Source organism: Homo sapiens, chromosome 5 (genome assembly GCF_000001405.40).
Source record: "Homo sapiens chromosome 5, GRCh38.p14 Primary Assembly".
Taxonomy (NCBI): Eukaryota; Metazoa; Chordata; class Mammalia; order Primates; family Hominidae; genus Homo; species Homo sapiens.
Genome location: NC_000005.10, coordinates 168777155 through 168791138, shown reverse-complemented (window position 1 = coordinate 168791138; position 13984 = coordinate 168777155). Strand labels below are relative to the sequence as shown.

Sequence of the window (13984 nt, the reverse complement as noted above, 5' to 3'; positions counted from 1 at the left end):
GCAGCCATGCTGAGGGCAAGTGAGATTAGGATAATCCAGAGTATTTGCTTGTTAAGACCCTTAAACAAAACCGGAGCGCGGAAGAAAAGCCCGGTGTAAGCTGACGAGTTTGTGAGTGCAATCTGCGGATTTGTCGGAGGTGATTTCGCCAGCTAAAGGGATAAACTAGACAGCTGTGCCGAAGAGCCTTAACCTGTGAAATATCGTTCAAAGTACAGGCTTTGGAGGCAGGGAGGGGAGGAAGTAGAGGCCTCAGCAAAGGTTGTGGCATGGTTCTTTTGAAATCTATTAGAAGAAGGAAGGAAACAGGCTCAGAGAGATTCCCACTGCATGTGCTTAAGAGGCTGGAGTGTCTGGCTTCGCTGGAGTCAATTGCTTAAGAATCTGCTCTGTTGTGCTTTTTTTTCTCCACATTCTCTCTTCACCTCCTTGTTGACCTTCCAAGATCCCAGCTCTCCCACTTCTGCACAAAAGCAAAGACCCATTTATTTATTTTGTTAAAGAAAAGGAACTGGAGAGGTTTGATGTCGCAGGAAATTGGAGCATCTCTCCTTCCAGTGACAGGATCCCAGAGGCCATCCCTGAGCTAATGACTCTAAGAGAAAGAATTTCCCCTCAGTGAAGGGCCATTAGCAAGAGCTGGTGTCCAGGTTCTCAGAAGTCACTGGGATGCCCGTAATTGAGCAGCCTCAGGGCCTCTGGGAAGGAGCCAGGGTCGAGGAGATTCCTTTGCACCTGCAAAGCCTGGTTAGCTGCCCCAGACCCCGGGCCCAGCATTAATAGAATCCTCCTGGCCCACAGCATCCCTCTTGCTCTCATTATCCAAAGCCTGGGACATTCTTATGCCCTGGACTTGCTCCCAGATGAGGAACACACTGCCAGCCAGTGACAAGCCCACATCTCCAAGGCGTCCCCTGAGAATCCCAGGATGTGCTTACATCACACAGCCTAGAGTTTGCACCAGACCAGACAGAGACTTAAGTCACTGCTCAAAAGCTCCTTTCAGGTCAGGGAGGAAAAGTCACTGGGGAGGTGAAATGACTCTGGACTTTCTGGGAGAAAAATGAGCAGCTGCTGAGGCATGAGGCAAGAAGATGATGCCTACAGGAACCCTGGCTTGTGGTTGGTTGGGTGAAGCCGGTTCCTGTTTCATCTGTGTCGTTAATTGCTTGGTAATGAAACGTAAGGCCCTAATTTGACTGGGCTCAATTTTCCACCTACAAAGTGATGGTTCACGTGTTCACAGCCTCGTGTCCCGATGAAGATGCCACGGGTGAGTATTCTTTGAAAACCAAGAAGAGTGATGTAAATGTGGTGCACTTTATCATGAGGTAGTTGAACTGAAGGCTCTTTAAGCTCCTTCTCTTGCACTATGAGTAAATGAATTGCTTGATTGATTGATTAATCCTTACCATTTTGAATGTCTGAAATGCTTGATTCACACTTAGGAGTGACCGTTATCGCACCTTTGAGCCATGTTCTCAGACTTTACCGTTAACGTTTTCAGAGACATCAGCAAGAATCAGATATCGGATATTGCTCCAGATGCCTTCCAGGGCCTGAAATCACTCACATCGCTGTAAGTGGGGCCCGAGTTGGGGCCTGAGGTGAGGGGAGGGGGGGCGCTGGAGGGAAGAGAGACGCAACCATATTTCTCAGGAGGTGTTTATCAAGACTTTATGTTCCCTTACACACTTGTGGCAACCTGGTAAAAGAAACAAATATTTCTTCAGGGGAAATTGATCTTGGGGAATATTTCTACAACCCAAATGCATTATTTTTATTGATTAAGCGCCTGGCAGCTTTCCCAGTTATTGGCTTCTAATTCGAATGCATCTTCTACTCCAACCTCACGTCCCCCTCCCACCCCACGTCCCCCTCCCACCCCACATGCCACCGCAGCGCTATCTTTCTGGTGTAAGGAGAGATGGTGATGCGTGTTTATTACCGCTTGGCCTTGCCAAGGGAAGAGCTCGTTTTCTTCTGCTGATTTTCAGGCTTTCTCTCCAGACCACCCTCATGGCCATTGTCCTAAGAAAACATCCACCCCATCCTATAGCCCTTCCTGTCTTTGATTTTGAAACCCATAGGCAGCCCACTGGTTGGAACCAAAGCTTCACCCACCAGGGGTTCCAAGACCCCTGCCGGCAGGAAGGTATAGAATGTCCTCATTCTGTCAGTCACTCATGTGTGGCATAGGGAAGTCACTTGAGCCTTTTATGGATGCTTCTTAGTAGGCAGGATGGGGACAGTGATCCCATTCCCTCCTAACACATCCAATGATGATCACGTGTACAGTAAAACAGTAATTAGTAGTGTTTACTGAGCATTGACTGGGTACCAGGTACTGTTCTAGGAGTCTGTCAAGTTTAGTCCTCACCACAACCTAAAATATAAAATATATTGTCATCTCATTTTTACAGCTGAAGAACTCAGACAATCTAAGCTCCACCGAGACAGGGATTATTATCTGTTTTGTTCACGGATGTATCCCTAGTACCACAAACTGTGTTTGGCACAGAGTTAGTATGTCAAAAAAAAATCTTGTTTTGTTCAACCATTTACTTACTCTAAAATGTAACTTATCCAAAGTCCACAGTAACAGGTAGAAAAGGCAAGATTTGAACCCATGCTGTCTGGCTCCAGAACCCACACTCTTGATCAGTCTGTCTATATTTTGCCTCTCCGTGCAGCTATGCAACCTGTTTACCTAATTTGAGTGGGCAGGTAACCAGATGCACATATTCCCCCCACCTGGCCCCATCCCACCGGGAAGGGGATGAGGACTGGGAAGTCTCAGATTCAGCTGTTGCCTGCTGCTTGCAGAGTAAATTAGTTTCATTTATCGAATAGAACATCTGGCTGGGATATCAAAGATGGGACCATGTGTGAGATTAGTGTCTGCTTGTGCTGAAGATCACAGAGGAGAAGGGAGAGGAGCCGTCTGCCACCAGGAACCTTTCTCTGCCCCCACCCTCTCTCTTCCCTTGTCTGGTTTCCCTCAGCCAGGATTTGGAGACAGTCTGAGGGCAGTGAGGTGCTTCCTGTCTCGTAGGAAAAGGAATTCAAAATCTAGTTGCCAAACATGAAATTGGCATGCTGCTGCCCGATTCTGAAATATATGTGAGCATTGTTTAAGTGAAGCACCTCTCACTCCCGATTTATTCATTCATTCATGCAGTAGATGCCTACTGTGTACTGGCAGTATTATAGGCACTGCGAGTGTGGCAGTGAACTGTACACACAGGATCCTTGGCCTGACAGAGCTTACAGTTGAACACAAGCACACACAATCCCAGCTCAGGAGAAGCCAAGGTAAAGGGCTGGAGAGCCTTTACCCCTTACCTGTGCGTGCATTCATTCATTCAACAAATATTTATCGTGCTAGACTCTTCTATTTTGGGGTCTAGAGACCCAGTCATGAACAGCCATGTAACGTTACTACACTCATGGGGCCTACATGCAAGGGAGCTGGGAGGTGCGGGGGAGGGAGGCAGAAAAAATTAAAATTAAATACATATTTAAGCAACATAATGTGACATAAAGATAAGCGATATGAAGAAACTAAAATAGGGTAACAGGTGATATAAAACATTAACTAAAATATTAAAGAGACACCTCCCAAGGAAGAGATGTTTGAGCTCAGACCTGAAAGGCAAGAAGAAGGTAGTCAAGCCAAGACCTGGGGTGGGAAGCCAGACAGGGGTACACCCAGATGCCTGAGGAGACCACACAGGCAGGAGAGCCTCAGCCCGCCTCCACCTGCCAGGGAGTGGTTTTGACGCACTGGGCTCAGAAGCCTGCTATCCCAAGGCATGGCGGGTGGTGTGAGGACCCCTCTTGCCCCAAGCCCCGTGGCTTCTGCTACACTAGAAGTCCTGACATCAGCTGACACGGGCAGACAGTGACATTACTGCATTTGGCACAGTGAGCGGTGGGGCATTAATATGAATTACAAATGTGTGCCTGAGCTATCATGCTGACTTTTATTTAGTCATTAATTTGTTGAAACATTAATGAAACACACCCGTAGGCTGATGGAGACATTCACTCTTCACTCCCAGTGGCGTCTGGAAAAGGGGGGTTTGGTTTATCATGCCCATTTACCATTTCCGCATCCTAATATTTTGTCTCCTCAAAGAAGGATTACAGCCTGGATTGCGATCCGAGTGAAAATTGAATATTGCATGCATTCAGTGCACTTCAGGGCTCTGGAGAGGACTTAAGAAAAACAACCAAACTCTCCTACGATCAGTTCCCTGGGTCACAGAGGAGGCTGGACCCAAGAGACAGCAAAGCCCGTGCTGTGGTTGGGAGCAGAGAGAGGCCAGCCGAGCTTCTCTAGTGCCTTTGAAGAGCACCAGCAAGGGCCAGGCATAAAGACGCCCCTGAGCACTGTGCTGGAGTGGGAGACCCAGTAGCCTTCCTCCCCAGGCCTCACCAAGACACCAAAGATGAGGCCCATGAATCAGAGACACCAGTATGAGGGTCACTGGAGGCCCGTAAGAGAAAGGGGTAAAAGGGTTCTGAGTTCCTGCGTTCCTGGAACTCAAAGAATAGGAAAAGCGGATAGAAAGTAAAAGCTGCCATTACTGTGAGACAGCAAAGCTCCCTGGTTTTTCCCGAGAGCCAGTCCTTGACTCAGCAGTCCCTGCACCATCTGGAGATGACCCCAGATGCACAAAGCCCTGTCTAGATGGATGATTAAATGACTCAGCTTAGGAATTCCTAAGATGCAAAGGGATATTAAAAGGAAACGTCCTGTAGGCTGGGCTCAAGCTGATCAATACCCATTGAAGACACAGGGCCAGTCTCCCACACAGTGTATTTATTGCTGGGGTGTGAGTCATATTAGCAGCTTAGGGAGATACCACAAAGAGACCGCTTCTTCCTGTTGGGGATTATGTATTGGGCTAGGTTGCCCAGGAATGGAGCAGGATAGAGCCCATTTCTACTCACCTCCCAGACAACCTGCCCTTCCAGCCCCTGGCTGCTCTTGGCTGCCTCTGTCTCGCTGATGAGAAGGGATTAGGCAGGCCGTGGAAGGGGTTGTCCTGAGATCTCATACCCAGAACTGGCCGAGGTGATGGCTTCCTGCAGGACTGGGTTCTGGTGGCCTCACATCCACAGTGATTGCTGTCTTCTCCTTCTCTCTTTCAGGGTCCTGTATGGGAACAAGATCACCGAGATTGTCAAGGGACTGTTTGATGGGCTGGTGTCCCTACAGCTGCTGTGAGTAGGAACTTTGTCACTGTTGGTGTCTTTGGTACTGTCGGAAGGCTCCCACCTGAAAACGTTGAGCCATGCTCTGGAGAGTTCTTTTGACTTTCTGCAGACAAAAGAGAAAAAAATGTTTGAGCTGTCCACGCTTCACCTCCGTTTCCTATTTTTATGAAAGGAGAGTCAGCGAGCGGGCAGAGGAAGACCGAGGTCAGTGTGCATAAACCCAAATGATACAGCCGAGGGCCCTGGCCCAGGCATGAAGATACTAAGCACAGGGTCTGGGGATAGAGATTAGGAAAGAGTCAAATCCAACAAAAAGAAAAACATTTTTCAGTAGTGTGCTAAGAATGTAAGGAACTAAAACATCCACACACCAAATTCCAGTACTAAAGCTGAGACACAGCTGCTGATGGACATGTGACCTTGAAGAGGGGTCGGGGCAGAGGGAATAATTCGAGAGGAGCATAATCAGTCACCAGTGTGAATCCATCTGGGAAAGACAGGGTGGAGAGGAGTGTTTACTTAATTTAAAGGAAGGGTTGTTGCTTCGAATTTTAAGCTCAGGGATTATTTGTTTGCATTTATTTCATTCTGGTCATTTGAGCTTAAATGTTTGAAGAAGATAATTGAACTCTGATGTGGAGAAGGAAGGAAAAGAATTTAGCTCATAGTATAGTTTAATTTTTGTGCTGGTAAAATCATCTCTGATTTGTGACAAGGCAGCTATAGCATCTACACACATGTACTATGGGTGTGGGAGTGTGTGTGTGTGTGTGTGCATGCATGTGCACATTTGCTCTGTCACCATTACAGTTCTTCTGGATGTTAGGAACTGATCTTGAGTATCCTTTAAGCAGTGGAGAAGACCAAGTCTCGGAGAGATACATGACTCTCCCCCAGTCACACAGCAGAATAGGTATGGAAACTGGAAAAGAATCTACATGGCCATGCCCTTCATTCAGAAACCTCCCAGCCCTCTGAATAGCACATGATGTATGTTTGCAGAGGTGTGCAGGTGTGTGTGTGCGTGTGTGTGTGTGTGTGTGTCTTTTTAAAATCACCTCCAAGTCACAGGCAGTGAGGAAGAGGCCTGGCACCTCCCCACCTCCTACGTAAAGTTCAGAGGACCCACAGCATGGGTTTGTGGGCCAGGACTCAAGCTGGGGCTCTAAAGGGGTGGCAGGCACAAGAGCAAAGAAGGAGAGAGGAACAAGGGACACATCTTATGTGGTTGATGCCCAGGAACTCTTCAAGAAAGAGGAAGTGAGACTTTTCCTCCAGCCCTTTCTTACATCTTTCCTCTACCCTTCCCATGTCCTTTAAGACTCAGCTCTGGACAGATTCTCCCAGAACACGCACTAATGTGAATTATGTAGGCGTGCGATGCCCAGCAAGTTTCCAGGGAGCAGATCTATCATACCAGCAACCAGGTTTGTTTCAGTGAAGCTGAAAGCAAGAGAGAGAAAAGTCTCTCTTTCTCTGCATCTCCCCCATCTCTGTCTTCCTGTCTGCCCCACTCTGTGTGTGTCTGTGTGGGCAAATTCCTGTTCAACGGTCCCAGCCTTTGGTGGGCTTTTAAGGCTATGTGTTAGAATGACAGGCCAGGGCTCTGCAGGGAGCTGGGTGTTTCACAGATGGTATTCTTTGCTTGTAGCAAAGAAACTGTGCATTATAACTGCCACCATAAGGCTAGTTAACTGTAGCTATTAATCCCTTGAAAGAAGAGTATCAATAGTATCCACCTTGAGGTGGATTTGGCAGTGTTGTGTTCCACCAAGCTGGTGTGATTTTCCTTTTATAATCTGTGTGTGTGTGTGTGCAGGAAGGAAAATGGCTTTGCACACATTAAGGATACACAGAATGTGTATCACAGTGCCTAGCACAGTGCATGTATACTTAAAAAGATGTGTATCTCAGCTCCAAGCTAATAGCAGCCATGAGGTTAATAGAACCAACAGGACTTTGCATGGGTCGCGAAGGCAACTCCAGTTTACTGTCACCATTTTGAGCAGATGGAATCGAGTAGCTTGGGGTAAAGAGGAAGCAACTCTCCTCTCTTGAGACCAAGAGTTGACACAACTCAGGCAGGCCTTACCAGAAAGAACCAGTAACTGGGACTCAAGTAGCTGTCATTGGGTTTTGACCTGCCATTGAGTGGTTGGAAAGCAGGCCCTGATTCGATCTAATTTAGTGTTCAGCCTGCTGTAGATTGGACTTCTCCCTGTTAGACTGGAGACACTGATAAGAAGGCTCTGATTAGAATACTCTGGTAGTCTGAGTTATTTTCTCTCCTTTGACTCAGAGTCTCTTTGTGAGAGGATTGCATTTTTTCTTCTCATTCCATCTCTCAAATTATGGGTACTCGCAAAGCTGAACTGCCTCTGCCACACGAAGTGGCCCTGGACATTTCCTTTCTAGCACTTGCTGTGATGCTGGCGGTAATAAAGTGGGTACATTGTAGTTGGTTCTCCTGCCTGCCTCCCATCTTCCCCCACTCCTCTGGACTTTTTGGCCATCCTATCAAACTTGCCCAGTCCAGTATGTACACAGCCAGCCTCCTGGGAGCTTTTCTCGGTGTGTTCCTTTGGGCAAATGCCCAAAATTCTTGGCCATTCTGGAGAGAATGTCTCCGTTTTTTTAGAGGCTGCGGCAAGTGCATCCACAAGGAACAAGCCCCAGCTGTCCTAAGCATGATATTCTGTCCTTGGTCCCCTGGAGCCTCACAAGTTACCCCCTTCAGTTTAAGTTCCAAAATCTTAGCGTTCAAAGGAACATCAGGGCTCCAAGCACAGCCTCCTACCTGGCTAGGACAAGAATCCCTCTCATGCACGCTCTCACAAATCCTTCTGTCACTCGTTTGCTGATGGTTCCTCTGATAAGTCCTCACTGCCTAGTTGGAAGGTTAGAAAGCTCTTTCTTATACTAAACATCGTAATGGTTTCTAGAAAACTCAGAAAAGTCTGTTATCATTGTCTTCAGATGTTTGAAAATAGCTAGTATGTCTCCCTATAATTAATCCTAAACACGTTCAGTTCCTGCGGCCATTCATTGTATAAACACGCATTTATTGTTTATTACTAGCAACCCTTATTGTCTTTGGGGGATGCAAGGTAATCTGTCAGCTTCCCTCCTTAAAACTGGCTGCTAGGAAGTGAGTTGGTGCCCATTTGGATACTAGGAAGTATGTTTAGAATTGAAATATCCCACATGGAGGCATCTCAGAACCCAAGGTGAGAAAAGGACATATCACTGGGCACATGATCCCAACTCCAGGGGTGGGAGCAGCTCAATTATTAGAGAAATGACCTGTCTTCCTCCTCACTGGAAGCTCAGGGTGAATGGTCTTGCTCCTCTACCTTCCCCTGCCCACCCAGGCTCATAGGCTCCTGGGACATCTGTGGAGATGGTGATCCTCTATGGGCAGCCAGCCCTCGTGCCCTGAGATCCCTCACCTTGTAGCTCAGAGGTCCCTCCTCCCAAAGCAGGAAAAGGCTGTCATTTCCTCCGCTGATGGACAGCTGCAAGCTGCGTTGTTACACCTCCCCTCCAGGGAGTCAGGAGCATTCATTTAGTGCTCATCGATCACATGACATGCATAGGAAAGCCACTTAAGTCGGGAGGGCAGTCATTTGAGGTGGAAGCTTTTAAACCCGCTCCAGGTGGTCTTAAACCAAACCAGACTGTCTTCGGGCTGGAATAAGTTAAGACAACTCTAGCACCTGTTGTTTAATTTTCTTGGAAGGCAGACAAGACCATTTGAGGCTCTCGGAGTTTGCCAAGCAACATGCCAATTACAGAGCAGTGAGCAAAACTTCACTCCCTATAGTTCACTTTTCCCCACCAGCTGTTTCACAAGAACTACTTACTACTGCTAATAATAGCAGCTAACATTTATTGAATACTTAATATTCTTCAGGACCCGAAACTGCTAAGCAATTTCATGTGCATCATCTCATTTAATCTACCACAACGCTAAGAGGAAGGTGTTGTGGAAAGGCCCATTTTACAGAGGGGGAAACTGAGGGTTAAGTGACTTGACCATTGTCACTTAGCATGATGGAGCCAGGATTGGAACCTGGGTAGTCCATGCCCTTAACCACAGCACATCCATCCAGAGACATCTGCTTCACCCAGTCACAGGCAGATCTGCAGAGCCGGTTTTTTGATCTGCAGAGCAAGAAATTCTCAATGGATCAAGCCACAGAGAGGGTGCTGTTGAACTGCAGATCAACTCCTTTTGTTATGGCTCAGCATAATTCACGGCTCTGTGTCCATGGAACTTTCTCTGGTTCATTGTCTTCAGCCCACTAATGTTTGCTCTATGAGAGGATAGTCAAGGAGCTGCTTGTGTTTAGAGACCCAATCGAGGTGGGACAATGAGAATTGTCTCCAGCAGAAGAAGCAGACTGACTTGGCGATGCGTTCTTGAGGGAAGGGTTCTTCCCTCTCTTGTGTACCTGGAAAGCCATTGGGTAGACTTAAATTCTGGAATCATTCCATGCTAGTCATTGAATGAATGGTTCACCCCACTTAAAGGACTGATTGGTAACCATGTGGCAATCAGATAGGAAAGTTACCACCCTAATAGTCCTGAGGGAAGGAATGGGCAAGCCACCACAGGTGAGGTCACTTGATCTGGTAACCAAATAATAGTTCTCCCTCTCTGGTCTCTAGGAATCTCAGCTTTCATCTGTTTCCCTTAGGAAAACCCAGTGGCTTACAGCCCATTCCTAGCACCCTCCTATGTCTCTGGGGTAGAAAGAGGTCTTGTTTTTCAGACAGGCCGCCCAATGGTGTTGCTGCATGCCTGGTTACTCTTGCATCGGGAATCACCATGACAACCCACAGCCATTGACAAGCAGTGCAGTCACCAACAGGAGAGAAGGGAAGAGCCACTGTTGCCCCTAGTTGGGACTTGGAGGGCTCCTCCTGTTTCCCCTTGAGTGTTTAGCAAGACGTGGCCTACAGCACCCATTTTCAAGCACAGAGAAGATTCTGGGCAGGGTCAGAATTCATGGCATCAGCTGTCATTGGGTTCTTCCCCACATCCAGCCTCAGTAGGTTGCTGAAGGTCTAAATTAATCCCCATATTTTATAGGGAAAGGATGATAACATAATGTTCTAAGGTGGGAGAGTGGTCCCTATTACAATTAATGGATAAAGAAATTCAGGATGACAGAGGGTTAATACTAGAGAAATAAAAAGAAGGAAGGCATATTAATGCGGAAGGTTTGGCTCTATATCCTGTAGCTTAATTAGGGGTACAGAATAGCTCCCCTAGTTGGTGTCTTCACTAAGCGTTCGTGCCAATGTGTAGAGGTGATAACTACTTCCAGGGACACACAGAGCACTTTTTTAAATAACAAAGAGCCTTCATAACCCACTTTTTGTAAATTCTCCTACTAAAGGAGCTAGAGAAAGGGTTATGCCAGACGCCTATTGGCGCCATCTTTCTCCTGTTGTATATCTGCATCTGAGTGTTCATGAAACAGAAACAGACTCCCCATCCCTGTTTTAGGAAAAGAAGGCCCACAGAGTATCTTTCTTGGCAGGAGCCTGGGCCCATCTTCCTATCCCACAGTCTTTTCTGGAAGAGCTTCATCCATTCTCCTGGAAGGGCCACTGCATTCTTTCTTGGCACCAGTTTTCTGAGGAGGCCTTGCTCTCTGGAGTTTGGAATATGCTTTCAGCATTTCCAGACAAATACCATAGAAGTGGGAGGGGCAACATAACCCATGTCCTCCACAGACCCTTGGTCAAGTGTGGACGCCACCAGAATGATTGCACTGGGCCACTGAGTCAACATGTGAATTGCTGGAGTTGCCAAAGTGATTTTTGATGCAATTGATCATTAAGCCTGACTCCAGATGTCTGTGTTTTCCAAACTTTGCAAAAAAGGCCTGTGGGCTCCAAGGGCAACCTTCATTGAAGAGCGGATCAGAGCAAAGGCAGTAGCTAACAGTGGGGCTCAGCGATCTTCTCCCCATGGGGCTTTTCAAAAGCCTGGGTGTAGTGGGTCCTTTTAGTGGATCATAATGGACCTGGTTTTCCCCCTGTGGGCCATCTCCCCATGTTACCTGGACCCCAAATGAAAGAAGCTGGAAGCTGCTACTAGTGATAAGAACACCTGGGACTTTTCTGCACAGGCCAGCCCCGGTCCCCTAGCAGAAAGACTTGAGTCACGAGGGTTCTCCCTCATCCCGACACAGGCATTTCATTTCCCTCCTCCAGCTCTAGCTTTTTTGACTCCCAGTGGCTTCTGTTTTCTGCTTTGGTTTTCCTGAAGGCCACAGCTCCCAGAAAGCAAGAGCTCTCAGCAGCACAGCTATGCTGGGTAGTCAATGGGCTGAGTGCTAATACCTCTTGACATGGAACATATGTGGCAGCCAAAAGTGCTCCAAGGAAGGGGGTGGCAGAGGGCCTCCTAGAGCTCACACTTGGAAATAAATTTAGAAGGTGCTGTACATGCCCTCCCACTCTCCAATGTGCCACTCTCCTTAATTTCCTCTGATGGGAGCATGGCTCTTTTTGTTGTTGTTCTGCCTTATTGTAAAATCACCCGCTGCGTTGATGGAGTGGCTACAAACAGGGTACCTCCACCGCCTCCCATCAGCCTCAGGTGGCTCCCTTAGGCTCTTAGTGAGAGGGGACTGGCTCTCACAGCAGCATGACGATTGGAAACAAAATCTTTGGGCTATGATGTCGTGAGTCCAAATACTATCCTACCTCTTACGGGTTGTGGAACTTTGGTCAAAGTTATTTAAGCTCTATGAGCCCCAGAAGGGTCACCTGTCAAAGGGAGATTAAATGGGAGTACCTGGCCTTGTGAAGTGTGTAATATGCATTACCTGTTAGGCCATGTGGCCCCTGCTGTTCACCTGGTGGCTGTGGTTCACCTGGTCGGATCATCTCAGCCTTCCCTCTCTTTTCATTTATATGATCTCCGAGGGTCCTTTGAGAGATAGATCTGGAGCAGGTGGCCCCAAAAGATCACTGGATCTGCATCTGGGGAAATACCGATGAATACAGTATTCACCAGGCAGTCCAGCCTGACTCACTGGATCCAACAGCAGATTGGGCTGAAGTGAGATCTTTGGCTGGGATGTCACAGTTGTCAGTTTGAGCGCCAGGCAGCCTCTTGAATGAGGCCAGCTGGGACATCCCACCTTGTGTGCTATTGCTGTTATCTCTGTCCTACGGTTGTCCCTGGCCTGCTCAGAGTAAGGGGATCACAGAGCCAGGCATATCAGCTCCCACGTCGGCATTCGGTCAGTGATCCTGAAGGGGGAAGCCTTGCCTCGTACAGATGCAAGCCACTCAGTAAAGAACCTGCCACCTCGTGCCAACGAAGGCTTGATCAGCATCACACGCTGAAGCTCCTTCCTGGGAGTCAGGAGGACTTCTGATGCCTCTGCACTCCCAGGAGGCAAGCAGGGTCTTCCAAACCCAACCAGACCTTTGTCCATCTGAAGCATACCCAGGTACAGTGAAGGCTAGCAAAAATAGCCACTCCTCACACATAGGGAAAATGGAAAAGAGAATATAGACTTTAAATAGTAGATAAGAGATGGCTTTGGAGTGAAACAGGCTGGAGCTTCGCTTATTGCTGGGGGACCTTGGTTGAGTCCGTCACCACTCTGAACCTGTTTTCTTATCAGAAAAATGAAGATAATCATAGTGCTGTTGTGGGGGTTACATAAGATAGTGCCTGGAAAGTGCGTGGGAAAAGCACACAGAGATGTAGTCTGTAGAGAGGATGCTGCATTATTATCATTTCACACAGCAGTTACACCAATGCTCCTCAAACAGGGATGAACCAGGACGGAGCAAGCATCCTGGAATCTCTGCTGCAAAAAGGGGGAATCCATCCCTCCGGTGAAAGAGGGAGGCCTGTGTTCAGGATTCCTTATAGAACTGCTAAACCTCATTTCAAATGTTTGTTTACTCTCTATTTGCTCCATAATATGGTGCTTTTAAAATTCCCCTCCAACTCTTGTCCATGTACCAGATAGCTAAGAGCTCCTTTCATGGAAGCCAGGCTGAGTTGACTAGCTGCCAGCCTTCCTCCCAAAGGAAAGAGGGCACAGGGACAGGCTGTTAGATCTTGCTGATGCTGGGGACCAGTGAGGCTGTCCTCAGCATCTAATTCTGGATAAGCAGCTTAATTTTATCTCTCCCTGCACCTACACACCTCGCCTGAGGGAGCCAAGCATCCTGGGAGAGAATGAGTGACCAGGAGACTCTGCCCTTTTGTGTTTTCTTTTGCTCCATGCTTCATGAGCTCTGCACCTTGGGCTATCTTTGCCTAGTAATTCTGCCAGCCTGGGTTGTTTTGATGCCTTACATATTTGAAGTAACATCCCATGCTGAGAGATCTAGGAGCAATAGGAAACAAAGGAGCATCTGGATGAGAAAAAAAGAGCCTCAATAGACCTGATGAGTGAGAAGGATTGCCAGCGTGGCATTTAGTTTTTATGAAGGCAAGTCAAGTTGCCATTTCTTTCTCCCCATGGCCATCGTCCTTGTCTAGTGCCTAATATGCGCTAGAACCAATTGCTACAATTGGGCTTATGAATCTGCACTGGGGTTTCAAACCTAAATGACCACTAAGGCAAGGAAGGTCAAGTAAACTAGTGAAGGGGACACAATAGGGAATAGTGAGGACTGTGGCAAATAGAGAGCATATGTCCTATCTAAAGGGGGCAGCTACTCCATGGCTGCCTCCAGGGAACCTAGGGTTGCCTGAGCTCCTGAATTTTGT

General features: G+C 47.6%; 1 protein-coding gene across 3 annotated transcripts in view, besides 1 other annotated feature; it reads left to right on the top strand.

Moving 5' to 3' along the window:
- SLIT3 (slit guidance ligand 3) overlaps window positions 1–13984 on the top strand; it is a 639400-nt gene that overhangs the window by 510001 nt on the left and 115415 nt on the right. For all 3 annotated transcript variants that reach the window (NM_003062.4, NM_001271946.2, XM_017009779.1), the window contains exons 11-12: window positions 1508–1579; window positions 5161–5232. In NM_003062.4, the coding sequence (NP_003053.2) occupies window positions 1508–1579; window positions 5161–5232 (144 nt within the window). The remainder of the gene's footprint in view (window positions 1–1507; window positions 1580–5160; window positions 5233–13984) is intronic.
- Window positions 4378–5577: an enhancer, noted in NCBI's record as "P300/CBP strongly-dependent group 1 enhancer chr5:168212567-168213766 (GRCh37/hg19 assembly coordinates)". NCBI's record gives its function as "activates an origin of replication core promoter dependent on BRD2, BRD4, P300/CBP, MED14 and CDK7 cofactors, with strong dependence on P300/CBP, by STARR-seq in HCT116 cells {active_cell/tissue: HCT116}" and the evidence as "EXISTENCE:reporter gene assay evidence [ECO:0000049][PMID:35650434]".